A 16,336-nucleotide genomic window follows, 5' to 3' on the forward strand; every position below is an offset into this window, starting at 1 on the left:
AAATAAGTTTGATTCTTAGCTTTTTAATGGTTTCTTAAATCTAATGTTTTAAATTATAATCTGGAGCCTTTATACTTTATATAAGGTTTTCAAAGAACAATTCTTCATATACAATTGTTTACATAAGAAATTTCATAAAGTAGATTTGAAAATCACCTTCAAATAAGAATTCTGTCAGAAATAATATGTCATTTTTATTTTAAGACAGATAAATCACTTAAGCCCAGAATAATATACTAAATCATGTTCTGAAGTGTAGATTCTAGAAATGTATTAGATTAAAACAATGAAAATAATGTCATAGTATTTACATTTTTGAGTAAGTTTTATATCTGATGTCTTATTTTCCTGAGTAAAAACATGAGATTTTTATTTTTATTTATTTATTTATTTATTTATTTATTTTGAGACAGAGTCTTGCTCTGTCGCTCAGGCTGGAGTTCAGTGGTGCGATACCAGCTCACTGGAACCTCTGCCTCCTGGGTTCAAATGATTCTTGTGCCTCAGCCTTCTGAGTAGCTGGGACTACGGGCACGTGCCACCACGCCTGGCAAATTTTTTGTATTTTTAGTAGAGACAGCATTTCACCATGTTGCCCAGGCTGGTCTCGAACTCCTGAGCTCACACAATCTGCCCACCTCGGACTCCCAAAGTGCTAGGATTACAGGTGTGAGCCACCACACCTGGCCACAACATGAAATTTTGAATAAAGCAAATATAATTTTCAGATTCACTATGCCTCACTCCAGAAAGCGTATGAATTAGTGAACAGTTTTATTTAATAATACATTATGAGAGAAATATAATAGCTATTAATGGAAAGTTGTATTAATTTTATTTTTATTGGAAAAGGTAAAGCATAATATGTCTTCAAAAGCCGAATGATAGACAGCTAATGAATCTAGGCTTAAAGATAAAAATCTTGTTCTTTAACATGTATTGCTAGCCACAAATAATAATGCCTTCAGCTCCTCCAGAGAGAATCTCATGCTGCAAGGATTCCTGTATATGAAACATGCAATACCAAAGAACCTGCTTAAGAACCTCTTTATGCAGTCACAGTTGATTATCAGCACTTGTGGTAGGGCTCTTTCATGCAGAAAAACCTTGTTCCAGGGAGCACCTGAAACCACTTTTCCAGCATTCTTTTTTGGATTTTGTTAACATTTTGATGTCAGAATTGCTTTTGGCTCATTGTCTCTAAGTATTCCTAAACGTTTCGGAACATGGCCAGCCTTTTTGCTCTAAAGATTATCCCACAACAAGCAAATATGTAAGAATGTTTGCAAGTGCTTCAGATGTCTATAGTGGCACCAATGGAATAGAATGCCTGATGTCATGTTGGAGCTGGGGATCTTCTGTCTTCCTGACTGGCTCCTCAGCCTGCCCCAGAAACTACATTTCAGTTTCTTTCTTGTGGACGCTGGTGATGAATAGGGTTGTATTAGCAACTGAACTGAAAACCAATGGTTCTGACCAACTCCAACATCCAGCCCCACATAACCTCATCAGCTTAAGATGGAATGATTTTAGGCTTAGAGTTCAATGTGAATCATAATCTTTTCTTCACCAGTTCTTGCTCTTTAATTAATGAATGTTACTTAACCTATGTCTCCATTTTTCTGTCTCTAAAATGGGTGCAGTTGTACCAACTGTGCAGAATTGTAAGGTTTAAATGTTAGGCATGTGAAAACCACCTGGCACAGGGTAGTTGCTCAAAAAGTAGTACTGTCTGTTTAGCATCATGAAATTCAGTAGCTGGAAATCTACTTGTAGAAGAGGAGAACTCTGGGTTTTTTGGATCATATTCACTTAGCACCTAAATTTTATTTTGTAATTTCTCCATGAAATGTCTCTAGGTATACTCCATAAGAAAAAGTATAATTATATATACCAGAGGTCCTCATTATCTGAATAATCAGGAGATGAGGGGAAAAACACACTAAAAAGTTAAGCCACAAAAAACTAGAACCATGTTTCATGGTAAATAGTGAAAAAAAAATCACCTAATTGAAACTTGTCTTGAAAAACTAAATGAATTATGAAAATAAGGCTATTAATACCTATATTCTATAAAATTTGTTAGTTTTTAAAAATGAATTGGCAATCAGTTCTTTCAGCAAAATTTTACATTCATATTACATTACATCCTTTATTTTGTGTTTGAATTTACAGTACATAATCAAAGATAGTCATTTTTGAAAAAAAAAAAAAAAAAGTCTTTGGGCTTTATCAGCTTACCCAAAGACCTGTCTTTATCATTTGATAGTCAGATCATACTCTTATGAAGTATCTGTCACACCTCCATCTTTGCTGATATCTTTCTGAAGTTATTTACTGCTCCAAATTTTCTAGTGGCCTGGTGTGTGTTTCACTTACTCAGCATCACTTTCTCTGACCTCGTGAATCCTGCATCTCTCACAAGCTTTGCAATTTCACTTCTAACCTTACTTGCATTGTGTTTGTGTTGCATCAAAGGAAGGTTTAAAACCTTCCACAACCAGCAAGGTTCCAAACATGTTGATTTAATGAATACAAAGAGATGATACTTGTAAGCAGGGATGTTTGAAGGAGCTGTTTTTTTAAAAAACAGCCAATTCATGAATATTTTCATGTCATGATGATTTTACATCCCTATGTAACCTTGAAACTGTGGGAGGCTGGAGAATCAGGCCTTGCTGTGTGGAGTTACTGTCATCCTCTGATGAAGAGCTCCATCGATGCCTTAAAGGTCCCAGCATGATCATTTCTAGCATGTTTGCTCACGCCATCCCCCAGATTTTCCAGAACAGCCTTTCCACCCACATTTTTTGATCCTCTGCTGTCACATCATCAGTTCCTAATGACAAACTAGACATAGAAAAAAGCAGGAAAATCTTTCATACCATTTATCAGTACAATCAGCTTTTAGCTATCTGTAAAATTGGCCAGTAATGATTATGAAAGAATGATCCATTTTCTACTCCTAGGGGATAGATTCAGTTTGGGGACAAGAAAACAGAAAGAAATATATGTGAGTGTTTTAAATTCCAGCTGTGGAATCCTAATTTCCTAATCATCACTGATTTGCCTGCATCAAATAATTTTGCTTATCTAATTAACTGAAATAGTGGAGTCCTTCTGTAATGAGAATAGTAATTAAAACAATAACAACTAACCCTCTGTTGAGCACTTACTTTGTTCCAGTCACTATTCTAAGGATTTTGCTTGTATTATCTTATTTAACCTTCACAATGCCCTCAGATAAAAGTGTGCCTATTTTATAGACAAGGACAGTGAGTCCCCACCTCTTAAAATCCTATGAGCAATAGGTGATGGAGTAGAAATTTCATAAGACTGTGAGATGAATATGGATACTGTTGCCTTTGAGGTACAAAGAAATAGAAAGATTATCAGTATGGCTCACCATAGAGGAAACATTGGAGATTGAGGAATCTGAGTGTTTTCTGACCCCAGGAATGGAGCAAATTGAAAGAATAACAGTGGAGAACCACATTTTTCCTCTGTTAAACCAGAGCTATCTAGAGGAACTCTGCAGTATTGACGTGAAGAGAATTGTAGTGGATAAGAACAAGGAAAATTCAAGGCTTATCAGTAGAAATGGAATGTTTGAAGTCGGAGAACTCATAGGAATGCTAGTACCAAGTACAGAATCAGATTAGCTGGAGGAGGGAGCTGGAGAATGTCTACACTTCACTAGATAATGAGAGTGGAGTGAGCCAAGAACTCAGTTGGAGTTTGACGGAATGAAGCAGAGGGTCCAACTGAGGCTGAACTGAGCGTGAACTACATTCAGCGGCCTAGGCAGTGCCCTCCTTGATAAGATAATGATAACAAACATATGCAAATGAATTAAACAGTACAGCAACATGTGGTCCAGCTAGCCTCACCTTGGACTCTGAAAAGTTCCATAGGGGCTTAAGTCCCAGACAAACAATATAGCCAAGAGGGAAAGAACCTAAAGAACCTATGCTTAAAACATTAGATTGAGTTTCCAGGTCAGGTATCATAAATTCTATTTTTTTTTTTTTTTTTTTTGAGATGGAGTTTCGCTGTTGGTGCCCAGGCTGGAGTGCAATGGTACAATCTCAACTCACTGCAACTTCCACCTCCCAGGATCAAGCGATTCTCTTGCCTCAGTCTCCCAAGTAGCTGTTTTTACAGGCATGCGCCACCATGCCTGGCTAATGTCGTATTTTTGGTAGAGATGGGATTTCTCCATGTTGGTCAGGCTGGTCTCCAACTCCCAACCTCAGGTGATCTGCCTGCCTCGGTCTCCCAAAGTGCTGAGATTACAGGCATGAGCCACTGCACTGGGCCTGCTTCTATTTTTCTCACTGACTTGGTTGCATTCAGTGCCAGTAATTCCAGTGGTCACATATCCATGTTGTCTTTCTTGCCTGTTCTACCAGTTGGCATTGCTCCCTGGAAGGGACTTGGTCTACAACTGGCAGAACTCCTTCTCCTAAGGCCTTGTGTAAGGTCACTGGGATAGACCATGGCCCTGATGGTTGATATTGCCTCCCCTTGCCATACCTTACCTGGGAAAGTGAGGCCCAGGAGAAGGGAAAATGGGTGTAGAACAGATGTAAACACAAGTGTGTTTAATTTGAGGATCCAACATGATTTAAGAATTGAGGATAAAGTAGGAAAACTAAGTATCCATTTTCCACAGCACCTAGAACAGTGCTAGACACTGGTAAGGAGTTAAAAAAAAAAACCCCCTCTTGGTTGGTTTAATAGTTTGGAAATGGGAAATTTTTTAAACACACTACATTTAATGCATCTGAAAAAATAAGCATTTATTGTCAACTATTTATTTATTTATTTATTTATTTATTTATTTATTTATTTATTTATTTTTAGAGACAGGGTCTTGCTTTGTCACCCAGGCTGGAGTGCAGTTATGCAATCGTAGTTCACTGCAGTCTCAAACTCCTGGGTTCAAGCAATCCTCCTGCCTCAGCCTCCTAAGTAGCTGAGACTGCAGGTGCCCTCCACCACACCAGGCTAATTAAAAAAAGAATATTATGTGTGTGAAGATGAGGTCTTCCTATGTTTCCCAGACTGTCCATGAACTCCTGGCCTCAAGTGATCCTCACCTCAGCTTCCCAAAGTGCTAGGATTGTCAGAGGCGTTTGAACCAGAGCAACTCCATCTTGAATAGGGGCTGAGTTAAATGAGGCTGAGACCTGCTGGGCTTAGGAAGTTACCCTATATAGTCTGAAAAGGGGATGCATGAATAATTCACCCTTTGTTTAGCATATAATCAAGAAATAACCATAAAAATGGGCAACCAGCAGCCCTTAGGGCTGCGCTGTCTGTGGAGTAGCCATTCTTTTTATTCCTTTACTTTCTTAATAAACGTGCTTTCACTTTATGGACTCACCCTGAATTCTTTCTTTTGCAAGATGCAAGAACCCTCTCTTGGGGTCTGGATCAGGACTCCTTTCCCATTAACAGGATTGCAGGTGTGAGCCACTGTGCCCAGCCAATTTTCAACATTTTATTGTTCAGCTATTTGACATAGATGGAAGACTTTAACTGGATATTCGAAAATTATATTCAAGACATATGTGTTATTTGTACCACCACATCCTTTGCCTGCTTATAATGAAAATAAAACAATGTTTATGAATGTCATGCTAATGAAGTCATTTGCACTACGTGCTTTGATACAAAGGTGCAGTCAACAGCCAATTTGAGGCCAAGTTGCTTTCATGTAAAAATTTTTTTTTCATTAATTTCATTTTCTTTATTTCTTTTTTTTATATTTCAATAAATTTTAAAAATGTAGACAGAACAATGCAGGAGACCTGTCTTCTCCCCACCTATGCCATTAGAAAACTGTGTGACCATAGGCAAGTCACTGGGCCCTTCTAGATCTCTTTTTTCCACATTTGTAGACCTATACAATTGTGAGAGATAATCCTAAATTTTTAAAATATACTGCTCAGTGCCTTTTTCCAGTGAAAGAAAACATAGAAAAGAATAACTGTTAAAAAGAGACATATACAAAACATTTGGGTAAGACTAGAGTTTGAACATAAAATGAATCTCAAAAGAATCTGCCATCTGTATTGGTGATCTCTCTTCCCCTTGGCTTCCTGTCTACTTTGTTGCCCCCATGCCCCGACCCCTATTTAATCCCATTTAGCTTATTTACTCCTGTGAAATGTCCATCTTCTTTTTGCTTTCCCTAATTCCCTGTCTGGACTCTTTGGAACCATGAACCTTATTAATCGTGACCAATTTTATGATATATGCTTTTCCCCAAAATGCCGTATGTCTTATGTTTATTTTTAAATAATTAGGCCATGATTTGTTTGGGGATAAGACTTTTTCTATAGTACCAGTGCAAAAAATGTGGGATACCGTCTACGGCTAAGCCAAACTTGGCTTCTTATAGAAAGATCCCTCTGGCCAGGCGTGGTGGCTCACACCTGTAATCCCACCACTGTGGGAGGCCGAGGCAGGTGGATCATTTGAGGTCAGGAGTTTGAGACTAACCTGGCCAACATGGTGAAACCCCATCTGTGCTAAAATTACAAAAATTAGCTGGGCGTGGTGACGCATGCCTGTAATCCCAGCTACTTGGGAGGCTGAGGCAGGAGAATCGCTTGAGCCTGTGAGGCGGAGATTGCAGTGAGCCAAGATTGCGCCACTGCACTCTAGTCTGGGCGGCAGAGTAAGACCCTGTCTCCATAAAAAAAAAGAAAAAGAAAGATCCCTGTTTGGTCTCATGGTTTTATTCATTAATACTTTTCCATTCATTCAAAATATTCTTGTGTGTCTATGCCAAACTCTGTGCTGAGCACTGTGGGTTATGGTGAACAAGCCAAAGGATCTCATCAGGCGGGATGCAGATGCATGGACAGATAATAATAGGAAGTCATGGTAAGTATGTCGAGCGTCATTTGCTGGGGAATTTTTCACGGAGGAAGAGGCAGGTAGACAACCTAGACTTGAAGTCAGGTGTAAACTTAAAAGCTTCCTTAGGAGTTACTTCCTAAGTAACCCCTAAGCTGAGTTTTTGAAAAATAAGTTTAAAGGGCAAGCAAGTGAATTAGTCAGGGTCAAGTCAACATAAACAGAAACCATTCTAAATATTTTATACAGAGGAAAATTATAATAGAGAATTCGTTACTCCAATGCTGAAAGAGCTGAGCCACCAAACTAAGCAAGATAAGGCAATCTTGATACTAGCAAAAGCAGGGAAGCCACCAGCTCCCCTAGGGCTTAAAGGACAAAGGGAAAAGGTCTATTACCACCCACAAGTTAGGGCCACTAGCAAAGCTGGAATGATGTTCAGCTGCTGAACAGTTACAGGAGCTGATGACATAGAAGACACTGCCTGTGGCAGGGTGAGTATGTATGTGTATGTGAGAAAGAGAGACAGAGAAAGACTAAGTCCCTTCTCCAAGCCCTCCAGTCTTCTGATTGAGTCTGCCATTGGCCAGATTTACCTGGAAGCCAGTCAGTTGGCAAAGGAGCCTAGGAAATATCATTTCCTGAGAGAATATATCTGAGAGTAAATAGGCAAATGTTCACACCATTCATTGGCAAGTGAAAAGCCAAAGGTTGGGTGTTGGATGGCTTGGTGTGGTCATAAGAGAAGGAGGACATATACAGAGGTATCAGCATAAGCCAAAGCACCAGGACAAGAAACAGCATGAGATATGCACAGAATCTCAGTCTGTGTCATAAAGTTTCCAGTATGAGTCAGAGATTGATAGGAGCTGAATGTAGGCAGGCACCCAACATGAGAGGCTTCGTGTGACTTAACGGAGTTGCGGCCATCTTCCCTGTAGGCAGTGGGAAAATTCTGAAAGGTTTTCAACAGGGAAGTGGCAAGCCCATATTTGTATTTTAGGTCACTTTGACAGTTGTGTAGACTCCTAGAATTATTTTTTAGAAGCAAAAATCTAATTTATTTGCCTTCGTCTTGTCCTTCTCAAATTCATTCAAGCAAAAAACAATGAGAAACAGCAGTAAGAAAATGGTAGGAAGGATGGAAAACATAAAAATTTAATTGACAGGATGATTGGATGTACAGGTGAGGGAGAGGGAGGATCCAGGGATGGTACCCAAGTCTGTCACCTCAGCTGAGGTTGATGGTATTGTCAAGTAAGGTTAAGTTTGAGTTGGGAGCCTAAGGGACATCAAGCAGAGATATCCAGGAGCAGATGGAATCTGTACACATAGGTATTAGTGGGTGAGTAAGAAGAGAAGTGGACCAAGACTTGACCATAGGGAGCAACAAATGTAAAGCCTTAAAAGAAAAAGAGAGTATCAGACAGGTCCAGGTGTGATTGGATTTAGTAATAGAAGATAATCTTATTCTAGATCATTTTCAGAGGAAAAAGTAGTAGAAACTAAATTGTGCTGGGTTAGGAACTAAAAGGAAGACAAGAAAGTAGCAATGGTAAATGTAGATGTGTCTTTTGAGAGTTTGGATAAGACGAGAGAAAAGACGGGATGAAATCCAAAGTTGGGATGGGTTTCATTTGCAGGGTTGGTGAGACTTGAGGATGTATGTGGTCAGGTTCCAAAAACCAGAGATGAGTTTCTTTAGAGGATAGAGTAGAGATAGAGACTAAGAGGCTCAGGGCTGGAGTCAGGCCTGGAGACACTTGGGGGAATTTCCCACAACTGTTTGCCAAGGAACTGCACTTATGCTGCAAAGACAGTGCATTCAGAATTCCAGTCTTGGCAAAGAACCCAGGTAGCACTTTCCCGTTTCAAGCAGAAAGCGCCTGTATTACTGTGTGTGTGATTTTAGGAGATAAATAGTAACAAAAACTAGCAGTTGTATAGCACTCTGCATCCTTCAAACTGGGCTCAGAGTTTCATTTGAATCCCATGATTGTCTCGTACCTGTGTGTGCATAAATTATATATATATATACATACAAACACACATATATAAATATAAGTGTATACATACACACATAGGTCTATATATATTTTATGGTCTCTGAGAAACTCATTAGGAGCCTGAGACACACAGCAAATAGGACTTGCCAAACCTTTCATAATTCATACATGATTTAACCCAAGTCTTCTGACTTTGGAGTCGTAGGGCCATCTCTAACAGACTTTGCCATTGCAATTAACAGACTTTGTCATTCTGATAGATTGGCCTAGAGAGTGGCAAGTATATAGGCACTGTCCCCTTCACTTTACTTCCTGGTTCCCTAGGACTTTCAGCCTCAGATAGTCTGGGGGCTCCTCCTTTGGATACCCTAGTGTTCCAGGTAGTAAATGGTTTCGCTGAGTACCATAGAGTCAGTTTTCCTATGATGGCAGCTCCTCCCCTCCCAGCCTCCTATATTCTGGGGCTCTTCCTTTCCACACACAAGAAAAGGTGCCTCCCAAGCCCTTGTACTTGCAGAACTTTTCGTCATGGCCTCATTTTCAAATTCTGTCATCCTTCTCTGCTACCAGATTTCCAGTTTTTGAACCTCGTATATACAGAAATCACACATTTCTCCCCATTTCTACTCAAGCCCATGCCACACAAACCTGGTGGGACTCCTGACTCTGTCATGTACCAGCTGGAACTAACTGAGCAAGCGACTCAGCCTTAGTGAACCTAATGATACCTTGCAGAGTTATTATAAGGATTTCAGGAGATAACTTATTTGAAGGATCCAGCTTAGCACCAGGCTTAATAAATCTTAGCTCCTTTCTCCCATCAGAGTGGCCTGGAGCTCTTATCCACATTTCTCAGCAGTTAGCACAGTAATATAATTAGCAACATTAGTATATCTAAAAGGCAATTACCATTTAATTGCTCTGGCCCCAGCCAGCCTGAAGTTTCTCTCCATTCACTTTTAATTTGGGGTTAGGGGTTTTTAGTCCTACCCTGGCTGGTCACAAAATCACTGCCTCAGAGAGAATTGAAAATAGCTGTAGGCAGCCATTGATTACACAGTAAGAGATTTGGTAATTCCTTCCATTTTGTCCTATATAAAAATGCACATATCAGTTTGCTCCCGGCCAGCGAACTAATCAGTTCCAAGCGGCATTTTTCTGAGTCAGTGAAGGATCGTCTTTGGTCAGACCAGCTCTGATCTCAAGAAGGCAAGCACTCCCACAGATGCTCCACACTGATCTTCATTAAAATAAATTAGTGCCCTTGTATAGGTTCAGACTCAGAATCAAGTTTCAGCCATCCTTTCTTAGAAGACATTTATTTACATTACATACTCAATTTAAAGGAGCAAATGCCCTTCTCTCAGCCTGTGAAGTTTGTTTATGTTAGAGCTACTGTGAGAATATAATGCCCAAATGAAGGCAGTATGTTTTATTTCTCCTCCTCTGACCCAATGTCGCATAAAGTAACAGCAGTCTCTAATCAAGAGGAACCCAATGTACTTTGAGATTTCCAATCAAAATCTTTAATATTCGAATGGCACATGTGCATTTGAGGAAACCTAGATTGCCTCAGGCCACACGGAAAGCATTTACATCTGAACCACTTTACATAGGATTGCAAGTTAAAGCAAATTCTAAATAACTTTTAGCAGTCTGAGATTTGGAAAACAGCCTGGCCCATATAAATTCTCCCTTAATTCTTTTTCTGTTAAATCTTATGCCAAAGTAAATGGAAGCTGTAGAGAACCTTTGAACTCAGTTCTCAAAGGACCTCGGTGAAATTGAATTGGCAGAGCCAATGTTAGGTTTTCAAAGGAAGATTTTTTTTTGTTCCCCCTTGAAGTGTCCACATCACAATCACCTTCCTTGGTGAAGGATGCAGTCTTGCTTTCTGGACCTTCTTGGCTCTGGACCATGTATGTGCCTCTGAGAAATGGGCTTTCTGCTGTAAGGAGCTCCTCAATGGGACTCTTCAGGACCCTTGGGGTTGGCATCCAGGCTTCTTAGCTCCTTTGCTTCACAGTTCAGTCAGCTGCACTTTTCCTTTTCTCTTTCCAAAAGAGCTTTTGAATGCAAGAGCCCTGGGGTTCAACGCCACCTCTTCCTGCCACTTAGAGCAAGTGGTTTCACTTTTCCAAGCTTCACTTTCCTTTTCTGTGAACTGGAGATTAAAAATAGAATGGTATATTTCAAAATAGCTAGAAGAGAAAAATTGTAATGTTCCCAACACTAAGAAAAATTAAATGTTTGAGTTGATGGATATCCCAGTTACTCCAATTTGATCATTACACATTGTACACAGGTATCAAAATATTACGTTTCCAAAATATATACATCTATTATATATCAACAAAAAAATCTGTATGCTCAAAAAAAATAGTATGGCCCACATGGATCCCACACATCTCTGAACATTTTGCTCTTGTACTCAATAGCCATGCAGTTTATTACATTGGATTATTCTTTTTATTGATATTTATTGATATTAATTAATTATTAAAATATAAATATATTTTATATTTCTTATACATGTATGTATGTAATACAATGTAACATATATGACATGTATTGTACTTTAGTGTGTTCTTACTGACAAATCATATGCCTCTGGAAGGATGGGACAATTGCACCCTGTGTACCATCCTTAGAATCCAGGCCATGCTGAGCACACAACTGCTTCTTAATAAACAGCTAATTAAGTGCAGTCTTATGAAGGCACCTCTTTATCCTTCTGTTTCATAGTTATCAACAGAAAGTATTATTCATCAGTCAAGCAAATATTCACAAAAATTAACTTTGTTCCCCTCATATTTTAATGTGTGCTGTTTCTCTAGTCTAGATATAACCCTGAAGGAAAAAATGGCACATATTTTTTGTCCTTTTTATCCTAATGTAAAGGAACATATGACATGTTTGCTAATTGTTTGCAAAGTTTCATGTAAGCTTTTTTTGGTTTTGCAAAATATGTTTTTCTAATTATTCTTCCTATCATGCATGTAGAAAGTCAGTATTATTTGCTATAAATTGTTACTATTTGTGGAAATTTGAGAAATAGCATCACTTAGACAATTTCTCAATTTATCATGCCAAAACTGAATCTCAAACTCAAGTGGGCTATATGCTGCCTGCTGTTTAGAGTTTTTCTTAAACTGCTCTACAGAGTTACTTCAGGCTTGGGGCTGGGCCTGGTGGCTCATGCCTATAATCTTTGTGCCTTGGGAGGCTGAGGCAGGAGGATCACTTGAGACCAGGAGTTTGAGACCAGCCGGGGCAACATAGTGAGACACTGTCTCTACAAAAAAAATTAAAAATTGGCTGAACATGCTCCTGTAGTCCCAGTGACTTGGGAGGCTGAAGTGGGAGGATCACTTGAGCCCAGGAATTCAAGGTTGCAGTCAACTCTGATCAGATTTCTGTTATCCAACCTAGGTAACAGAGCAAGACCTTATCTCAGAAAAAAAAAAAAAAAATTACTTCAGGTGGTCATTGTGCCTTTACTTACACACTGCCAGTATAGGGGCTAACTACTGCTGAAAACAGCCTTTTTCCATTTCAAGCAAGTCATCTTGAGCTGGTGTACAGAATGCTTGGAGGTCTTTATGAGGTACAGAGGTGTAAACAACCATATTTATTACTGTCTCTGAAAGAGAAGGGAGAAGACAAATTGCCATTCAAAAACCTGCATGATTTGTATATTATAAACTCAAAGAAACTCTTCTCAGTGTGTTATATGTTGGGTGTACCAATTATAAATCATCAGAGGGAGACTGAGAAAAGTCAACAGAAATCTGCAATCTGACGTGTGTGGAAAGGCAGTGACTGAGAACTGGTGGTTTTGGAATCAGTCCTACCTGGCTTTGATTCCTGTCATCATTATTAGCTTTGAGCAATCTGCTTTACTCTCTGGACTTCTATTTCCTCATCTGTGAAGTGAGAGTGATATTAAAGATTAAATCAGATTAAAATTGTAAAGAATAACACCAACACAGTGGCTGGCTCAAGTTGGTGTTAAATAAATAATACGCAGCATTATTATTAGGTTATTTTATTATTAGAACCACAGGGGTTTCTATTTGACTGATAATGGATGTTTCTTAAAGAAGAAAAATGTGTGAGGACTCTGAGTTGACTATCTTAGTAGCCAATTAGGGGAAAGGGGGTTAATAGAAACTGTCAGCCCCCAGTTGCCACCTCCCCACAGTAGGGTTGTGTGGCCCAGCTTTCCCATCTGCTTCCACAGCCATAAACCTCTTATCTAACATGCAGCACTAGGAGTTTTTCATACCCTTCCTGAAAGGGCTGATCAATACCAAATACTGATCATACCTTTATGTAAATAAAACATCAGCTAATTTCTTATTCTAATCTGTATTTTTTTGGTCAGGCCAATGTTGTGTTTCTAAAAGAGCTCTCCTCCGAAAAAGCTATGATTTGCAACATTTGCCAGTTTCCATGGTGTAAATACTCCCAGCATGGCCAATTGTAAGCTCTTAACACAAAGTCACTGAACACAGAGTTTGGAAGAGATGTGCACAGCTGTTCAAGTTGTTGCCACTCCATTACACCACTGGGCCAGGCTAAAGCTTATGCTTTGATAGTATAGGACAGGATGATTGACAACAGCAAAACCTACAAGCAAATGCAGTAGAGGGAAAATAGTTTGTCGTAGAGTGGATCACTATAATATACTTGGATTCATCCAGAAAGTGAGTTCATGCCAGATTACTCGAGCAATGTATCTCAATGCCATCTTTCTCTTCTTGTTCTGTACTCTCCAGTCATACTTAGAAGAGAAATATTTCCCTAGCCTCTTGTGCTGTAGGAAGGAAAGTCTCCCTAATCACTTCTCAATTGTTTGAATGTTTCCTTCACCAATAGTTTAGATATTTGCTCGTGGACATAATCCCCATGTTTATAAAGATGTCTTCTTTTTCTCCCTCCTCTTTCCCTTCCCCCTCTCCCTCCCTTCTTCCTTCCTTCTTTATAACCATCCTTACTTCCTTCAGAAGTATTTTCCACCATCTTTTGTATTTCTAACATCCCTACAAGATCATCAGAACAGGCAATAGTACTTCTGCTTTGCAAAATTGTAGAGAAACTAGAAAACCATTCTACTTGTATAAATCTCTGTCATGTTATTGCTCTCATTTTTAATTTGTCATTTTGTTATTTTGAAATCTTCATTGTTATTGAGACATCCCGTACTTTAACTTTCTTCCATGAGTGGAGTGGTGTACTTTCAACCTCTGGCTTTTCTTTTGTGTCATAAATTTAATTTTATTCTCTCCATCACAGTTTTTGAAAACTGTATTATACTGTATATAGGAAATTGTATTACAGTACTGTAAATACATTTCTGAGAACTTTTAATTAAGTGATGATACCTAGGACTTTCTCATCATAATCAAGTCCCTGGAGATGACAAAATAGAATCCTTTTGGGAAGCAGTTCTGTTTTCAGCATCTCATCACTGGAGCAAGCAGAATTCTGTTACAGACTTTGAACTGTTAGGGTGATATCAGTTGATGATTTTATCAACATAGTGGATTTATTTAAAAATCCAGGTTGTCTCACTAAAGACCTCTTAAAAGTATTCCAAAAGCCTAGTGACAAACAGAAGAGAAAAAGACATTTGAGATAACAATTCGGCATTTACCATGAAGCCCTCTGCAGACGTGCTTGAGATCATCACTTGTACCATCCTAATCTTCATGAGCATCGTGGGAAACACGTTTGTTTTATTCTACAAGAAGATGTATCACTGGGCATTTACAGACATCCTTTCTTCTAATTTTCAATCTTATTTTTGTCCACCTTATTAAAAACTTGGTGGTGAATGTTATGAAAATTGTTTACTCTTCTGGTATCATATTGGATTCAGCTGGCTGCAAAGTTCTGTGCTTTACATCAGCCCTGACAACTTCACTGGCCATCTGCTTCATGTTACACTTTGCATTGCTTTACCACTGGAAGCTTTACCAAATTGCCCACCCCTTGGGTGTAAATCCAAGCCTGGACCAACAGAAGCATTCCTTGAAGGTGGTTTCTGTACTTTGGGTGGCTGGTGTGGTGGTATATATCCCAGTTTAAATTCGTACCAGAAAACCAGAATTCTCGAATGCAGGAAATGATACAGATCCCTTGTCTACTAACAGGATGTACATGGATTGCCCAGTTGTCTTTGGAAACAAGCAGGTAGAGTTTTTCTATGGGAAAATTTTTTTCGTTCTGATTGATATTCTTTCTTTAGCTATTTTAGTCTTTGTCTGTTTCTGGATGTCTTTCCTCCTTTCAGAGAGAAAGAAGATGACATATGGTGACATCTGGATTGGAGATGATGATTCAGAAATTGAAATCCTTAGAGGGGCCAAGTTCAGTATTTTATTAATGTTGCTGATCACTCCACTTTGGATTTCTCACTTTATCTTAGTCTGTTTCTTGAAAGACTTGGCAGCATGCAGCTTTATTCCAGCTGTTCTTACAGCCATCTCTTCAAGCTTCTCTGCTCTCAGTCCTTTCTTGCTTATGTTGGTTAATTACAAAATGAAGTTGGTGACCTTCTGTGGTGCCAAAGAGGAAAAACCCACACCACAGCCTACAAATGTTATTCTTTCTCCATATGCTTAATGGCAAAGAATTCAAGTTTAATTATTGGAAAACAGACCCTGTCATTGGAGAGTATAGCTAGAGTTTTCATAGCGCTCATCAACAGTTTCCAAAAGGGTCTCTAGAAAACTGACTCCTCTTCAAAAATAGACTTCAGAGGAAACTGTGCGAGAAACTATATGAACATTAAGCTATTATATGTTAAAAAATTGTCATCACAACATTTGTTATTTAAGACAATACTGAGAGTTCTAATGTAAAAATTATAAAGCAACTCAACAGTTTTCAGTCTGGAAATGAACTCAAATAATATATTATTTACTCGTGCAAGATATTGTGTTTAAAAAACAACATATTGATGAAACTGAAGATAATACTTCCTAGCTGAATTTTAAAGGTACACATAAATAATCTTATGTTGTTTTTGAAATGCTTCCCCACATATTAGAAGTATATTAGGTAGGTGTGCAGTGTTCAGTTTTTGCACTTTTAATAATAGTACCTCATCTATGGTGGAAGCAGATTTTGTTCATCATCTCTACCCTAAGTGTCTTTAGTAAATTAGGGCCAAATGAAAGCATTGGATTAAAGAATTAGTACTTGCTAAGTCATACTCTGTGTATGTACAGATGTGCAAATATTTGGTTGTTCAGACATTTAACTCACTATCCTTGCTTAATCATCTAAATATATATTAAACTATACTCTTTTCTTCAGAAAAAAGGATATTATTTTATAGGGAATTTATCTCCTTTCAGTTATCAAATTGGTACATTTACAAATTGGAAGAATTTATAAAACCTTCATAATAATTTGATCTCTGGATTTGGATTCAATAAAAATAAGCACAT

General features: G+C 38.5%; 1 protein-coding gene and 1 pseudogene across 37 annotated transcripts in view, besides 1 other annotated feature; both read left to right on the top strand.

Moving 5' to 3' along the window:
• Positions 1-16,336, top strand: part of SNCAIP (synuclein alpha interacting protein) — a 152,867-nt gene that overhangs the window by 47,623 nt on the left and 88,908 nt on the right. The gene's annotated exons all lie outside the window — the stretch shown is intronic.
• Positions 10,352-10,852: an enhancer, noted in NCBI's record as "H3K4me1 hESC enhancer chr5:121705022-121705522 (GRCh37/hg19 assembly coordinates)". NCBI's record gives its function as "activates a minimal SCP1, AML or CMV promoter by ChIP-STARR-seq in primed H9 embryonic stem cells {active_cell/tissue: H9 hESC(primed)}" and the evidence as "EXISTENCE:reporter gene assay evidence [ECO:0000049][PMID:30033119]".
• ANCV1RP (ancient vomeronasal 1 receptor pseudogene) lies at positions 14,537-15,506 on the top strand (annotated as a pseudogene).

The sequence above is a fragment of the Homo sapiens genome, chromosome 5 (genome assembly GCF_000001405.40).
Source record: "Homo sapiens chromosome 5, GRCh38.p14 Primary Assembly".
Lineage (NCBI taxonomy): Eukaryota > Metazoa > Chordata > Mammalia > Primates > Hominidae > Homo > Homo sapiens.